At 43.0% G+C, this 6,674-nt stretch overlaps 1 annotated feature.

Moving 5' to 3' along the window:
• Positions 694-1,563: an enhancer, noted in NCBI's record as "H3K27ac-H3K4me1 hESC enhancer chr10:86521771-86522640 (GRCh37/hg19 assembly coordinates)". NCBI's record gives its function as "activates a minimal SCP1, AML or CMV promoter by ChIP-STARR-seq in naive H9 embryonic stem cells {active_cell/tissue: H9 hESC(naive)}" and the evidence as "EXISTENCE:reporter gene assay evidence [ECO:0000049][PMID:30033119]".

Here is a 6,674-nt window from a genome sequence, read left to right as displayed (position 1 = left end):
ATTGTATTTTCTAAATATGGCCACAACAATGTCCTCCATTCCACCTACTCTTCTTACAATGTGATTTTGATACCACTCCCATCAAGAACTGAGGTCTATGTTCCCTCTCTTTGAATGGGGTTCGGCCCCTGTGACTTACTCCACAAGTCAAATGTGGCAAAAGTGACGTTGCAGGGGCAAAGTCACCGAAGGTGATGAAGCTCTGCCTGGTTCTCTGGGACACCAACTCTTGTAACCCAAACGTCATGCTGTGAGGAAACCAAAGCAGCCTGTGGAGGTGCCCATGAAAAGAGGCCTACAGAGAAAGGATCCACGGCCCCGGCCCTCAGCCCCACTGAGCTCCCAGCCGACAGCCAGCAGCAGCTAGCCAGCCACATGAGGGAGCCACCGTGGAGGTGGAAAATCCAGCTGTAGTCCAACCACAATGGATGGTGATTCAGCAAACACAAGCCTCCCCCAACTACATCCACGCAAGCTGCAGGTTCTTGAGCTACATAAATTATTGTTATTTTGAGCCACTATACTTGGGGCTGACTTGCTACACAGCGACAGCCAAAACAGCCGCTGTCTCCCCCACTGCAGGCACATTCTCTTCCTCACACAGCTGAGCTGATGCCTTCTTTATCCCCTCTCTTGGTCACACACGGGGATATTTCAGCTGACTCACATTATTCAGTCAATACATCACTTGTGCTGGAGGAGCCAAGATGGCCGAATAGGAACAGCTCCTGTCTACAGCTCCCAGCGTGAGCGACGCAGAAGATGGGTGATTTCTGCATTTCCATCTGAGGTACCGGGTTCGTCTCACTAGGGAGTGCCAGACAGTGGGCGCAGGTCAGTGGGTGCACGCACCGTGCGCGAGCCGAAGCAGGGCAAGGCATTGCCTCACTTGGGAAGTGCAAGGGGTCAGGGAGTTCCCTTTCCGAGTCAAAGAAATGGGTGACAGACGGCACCTGGAAAATCGGGTCACTCCCACCCAAATACTGCGCTTTTCCGACCGGCTTAAAAAACGGTGCACCATGAGATTATATCCGGCACCTGGCTCTAAGGGTCCTATGCCCACGGAGTCTCGCTGATTGCTAGCACAGCAGTCTGAGATCAAACTGCAAGGCGGCAGCGAGGCTGGGGGAGGGGCGCCCGCCATTGCCCAGGCTTGCTTAGGTAAACAAAGCAGCCGGGAGGCTCCAAATGGGTGGAGCCCACCACAGTTCAGGGAGGCCTGCCTGCCTCTGTAGGCTCCACCTCTGGGGGCAGGGCACAGACAAACAAAAAGACAGCAGTAACCTCTGCAGACTTAAATGTCCCTGTCTGACAGCTTTGAAGAGAGCAGTGGTTCTCCCAGCACGCAGCTGGAGATCTGAGAACTGGCAGACTGCCTCCTCAAGTGGGTCCCTGACCCCCGAGCAGCCTAACTGGGAGGCACCCCCCCAGCAGGGGCACACTGACACCTCACACAGCAGTTTACTCCAACAGACCTGCAGCTGAGGGTCCTGTCTGTTAGAAGGAAAACTAACAAACAGAAAGGACATCCACACCAAAAACCCATCTGTACATCACCATCATCAAAGACCAAAAGTAGATAAAACCACAAAGATGGGGAAAAAACAGAACAGAAAAACTGGAAACTCTAAAAAGCAGAGTGCCTCTCCTCCTCCAAAGGAACGCAGTTCCTCACCAGCAACGGAACAAAGCTGGATGGAGAATGACTTTGACGAGCTGAGAGAAGAAGGCTTCAGACGATCAAATAACTCTGAGCTACGGGAGGACATTCAAACCAAAGGCAAAGAAGTTGAAAACTTTGAAAAAAATTTAGAAGAATGTATAACTAGAATAACCAATATAGAGAAGTGCTTAAAGGAGCTGATGGAGCTGAAAACCAAGGCTCGAGAACTACGTGAAGAATGCAGAAGCCTCAGGAGCCGATGCAATCAACTGGAAGAAAGGGTATCAGCAATGGAAGATGAAATGAATGAAATGAAGCAAGAAGGGAAGTTTAGAGAAAAAAGAATAAAAAGAAATGAGCAAAGCCTCCAAGAAATATGGGACTATGTGAAAAGACCAAATCTACGTCTGACTGGTGTACCTGAAAGTGATGGGGAGAATGGAACCAAGTTGGAAAACACTCTGCAGGATATTATCCAGGAGAACTTCCCCAATCTAGCAAGGCAGGCCAACGTTCAGATTCAGGAAATACAGAGAATGCCACAAAGATACTCCTCGAGAAGAGCAACTCCAACACACATAATTGTCAGATTCACCAAAGTTGAAATGAAGGAAAAAATGTTAAGGGCAGCCAGAGAGAAAGGTCGGGTTACCCTCAAAGGGAAGCCCATCAGATTAACAGCAGATCTCTCAGCAGAAACCCTACAAGCCAGAAGAGAGTGGGGGCCAATATTCAACATTCTTAAAGAAAAGAATTTTCAACCCAGAATTTCATATCCAGCCAAACTAAGCGTCATAAGTGAAGGAGAAATAAAATACTTTACAGACAAGCAAATGCTGAGAGATTTTGTCACCACCAGGCCTGCCCTAAAAGAGCTCCTGAAGGAAGCACTAAACATGGAAAGGAACAACCGGTACCAGCCACTGCAAAATCATGCCAAAATGTAAAGACCATTGAGACTAGGAAGAAACTGCATCAACTAACCAGCAAAAGAACCAGCTAACATCATAATGACAGGATCAAATTCACACATAACAATATTAACTTTAAATGTAAATGGACTAAATGCTCCAATTAAAAGACACAGACTGGCAAATTGGATAAAGAGTCAAGACCAATCAGTGTGCTGTATTCAGGAATCCCATCTCACATGCAGAGACACACATAGGCTCAAAATAAAAGGATGGAGGAAGATCTACCAAGCAAATGGAAAACAAAAAAAGGCAGGGGTTGCAATCCTAGTCTCTGATAAAACAGACTTTAAACCAACAAAGATCAAAAGAGACAAAGAAGGCCATTACATAATGGTAAAGGGATCAATTCAACAAGAAGAGCTAACTATCCTAAATATATATGCACCCAATACAGGAGCACCCAGATTCATAAAGCAAGTCCTGAGTGACCTACAAAGAGACTTAGACTCCCACACATTAGTAATGGGAGACTTTAACACCCCACTGTCAACATTAGACAGATCAAAGAGACAGAAAGTCAACAAGGATACCCAGGAATTGAACTCAGCTCTGCACCAAGCAGACCTAATAGACATCTACAGAACACTCCACCCCAAATCAACAGAATATACATTTTTTTCAGCACCGCACCACACCTATTCCAAAATTGACCACATAGTTGGAAGTAAAGCTCTCCTCAGCAAATGTAAAAGAACAGAGATTATAACAAACTATCTCTCAGACCACAGTGCAATCAAACTAGAACTCAGGATTAAAAATCTCACTCAAAACTGCTCAACTACATGGAAACTGAACAACCTGCTCCTGAATGACTACTGGATACATAATGAAATGAAGGCAGAAATAAAGATGTTCTTTGAAACCAACGAGAACAAAGACACAACATATCAGAATCTCTGGGACGCATTCAAAGCAGTGTGTAGAGGGAAATTTATAGCACTAAATGCCCACAAGAGAAAGCAGGAAAGATCCAAAATTGACACCCTAACATCACAATTAAAAGAACTAGAGAAGCAAGAGCAAACACATTCAAAAGCTAGCAGAAGGCAAGAAATAACTAAAATCAGAGCAGAACTGAAGGAAATAGAGACACAAAAAACCCTTCAAAAAATTAATGAATCCAGGAGCTGGTTTTTTGAAAGGATCAACAAAATTGATAGACCACTAGCAAGACTAATAAAGAAAAAAAGAGAGAAGAATCAAATAGACACAATAAAAAATGATAAAGGGGATATCACCACCGATCCCACAGAAATACAAACTACCATCAGAGAATACTACAAACACCTCTACGCAAATAAACAAGAAAATCTAGAAGAAATGGATAAATTCCTCGACACATACACTCTCCCAAGACTAAACCAGGAAGAAGTTGAATCTCTGAATAGACCAATAACAGGCTCTGAAATTGTGGCAATAATCAATAGCTTACCAACCAAAAAGAGTCCAGGACCAGATGGATTCACAGCCGAATTCTACCAGAGGTATAAATAGGAGCTGGTACCGTTCCTTCTGAAACTATTCCAATGAATAGAAGAAGAGGAAATCCTCCCTAACTCATTTTATGAGGCCAGCATCATTCTGATACCAAAACCAGGCAGAGACACAACGAAAAAAGAGAATTTTAGACCAATATCCTTGATGAACATTGATGCAAAAATCCTCAATAAAATACTGGCAAAACGAATCCAGCAGCACATCAAAAAGCTTATCCACCATGATCAAGTGGGCTTCATCCCTGGGATGCAAGGCTGGTTCAATATACGCAAATCAATAAATGTCATCCAGCATATAGACAGAGCCAAAGATAAAAACCACATGATTATCTCAATAGATGCAGAAAAAGCCTTTGACAAAATTCAACAACCCTTCATGCTAAAAACTCTCAATAAATTAGGTATTGATGGGACGTATCTCAAAATAAGAGCTATCTATGACAAACCCACAGCCAATATCATACTGAATGGGCAAAAACTGGAAGCATTCCCTTTGAAAACTGGCACGAGACAGGGATGCCCTCTCTCACCACTCCTATTCAACATAGTGTTGGAAGTTCTGGCCAGGGCAATTAGGCAGGAGAAGGAAATAAAGGGTATTCAATTAGGAAAAGAGGAAGTCAAATTGTCCCTGTTTGCAGATGACATGATTGTATATCTAGAAAACCCCATTGTCTCAGCCCAAAATCTCCTTAAGCTGATAAGCAACTTCAGCAAAGTCTCAGGATACAAAATCAATGTACAAAAATCACAAGCATTCTTATACACCAACAACAGACAAACAGAGAGCCACATCATGAGTGAATTCCCATTCACAATTGCTTCAAAGAGAATAAAATACCTAGGAATCCAACTTACAAGGGATGTGAAGGACCTCTTCTAGGAGAACTACAAACCACTGCTCAATGAAATAAAAGAGGATACAAACAAATGGAAGAACATTCCATGCTCATGGGCAGGAAGAATCAATATCGTGAAAATGGCCATACTGCCCAAGGTAATTTGCAGATTCAATGCCATCCCCATCAAGCTACCAATGACTTTCTTCACAGAATTGGAAAAAACTACTTTAAAGTTCATATGGAACCAAAAAAGAGCCCGCATCGCCAAGTCAATCCTAAGCCAAAAGAACAAAGCTGGAGGCATCACACTACCTGACTTCAAACTATACTACAAGGCTACAGTAACCAAAACAGCATGGTACTGGTATCAAAACAGAGATATAGATCAATGGAACAGAACAGAGCCCTCAGAAATAATGCCGCATATCTACAACTATCTGATCTTTGACAAACCTGACAAAAACAAGCAATGGGGAAAGGATTCCCTATTTAATAAATGGTGCTGGGAAAACTGGCTAGCCATATGTAGAAAGCTGAAACTGGTTCCCTTCCTTACACCTTATACAAAAATCAATTCAAGATGGATTAAAGACTTAAATGTTAGACCTAAAACCATGAAAACCCTAGAAGAAAACCTAGGCATTACCATTCAGGACATAGGCATGGGCAAGGACTTCATGTCTAAAACACCAAAAGCAATGGCAACAAAAGACAAAATTGACAAATGGGATCTAATTAAACTAAAGAGCTTCTGCACAGCAAAAGAAACTACCATCAGAGTGAACAGGCAACCTACAAAATGGGAGAAAATTTTTGCAACCTACTCATCTGACAAAGAGCTAATATCCAGAATCTACAATGAACTCCAACAAATTTACAAGAAAAAAACAAACAACCCCATCAAAAAGTGGGTGAAGGACATGAACAGACACTTCTCAAAAGAAGACATTTATGCAGCCAAAAAACACATGAGAAAATGCTCACCATCACTGGCCATCAGAGAAATGCAAATCAAACCACAATGAGATACCATCTCACACCAGTTAGAATGGCAATCATTAAAAAGTCAGGAAACAACAGGTGCTAGAGAGGATGTGGAGAAATAGGAACACTTTTACACTGTTGGTGGGACTGTAAACTAGTTCAACCATTGTGGAAGTCAGTGTGGCGATTCCTCAGGGATCTAGAACTAGAAATACCATTTGACCCAGACATCCCATTACTGGGTATATACCCAAAGGATTATAAATCATGCTGCTATAAAGACACGTGCACACGTATGTTTATTGCGGCATTATTCACAATAGCAAAGACTTGGAACCAACCCAAATGTCCAACAATGATAGACTGGATTAAGAAAATGTGGCACATATACACCATGGAATACTATGCAGCCATAAAAAATGATGAGTTCATGTCCTTTGTAGGGACATGGATGAAATTGGAAGTCATCATTCTCAGTAAACTATCGCAAGAACAAAAAACCAAACACCGCATATTCTCACTCATAGGTGGGAATTGAACAATGAGATCACATGGACACAGGAAGGGGAATATCACACTCTGGGGACTGTCGTGGGGTGGGGGGAGGGGGGAGGGATAGCACTGGGAGATATACCTAATGCTAGATGATGAGTTAGTGTGTGCAGCGCACCAGCATGGCACATGTATACATATGTAACTAACCTGCACAATGTGC

This window comes from Homo sapiens, chromosome 10 (genome assembly GCF_000001405.40).
Source record: "Homo sapiens chromosome 10, GRCh38.p14 Primary Assembly".
Lineage (NCBI taxonomy): Eukaryota > Metazoa > Chordata > Mammalia > Primates > Hominidae > Homo > Homo sapiens.
This window is presented reverse-complemented; position numbering and strand designations above follow the sequence as displayed.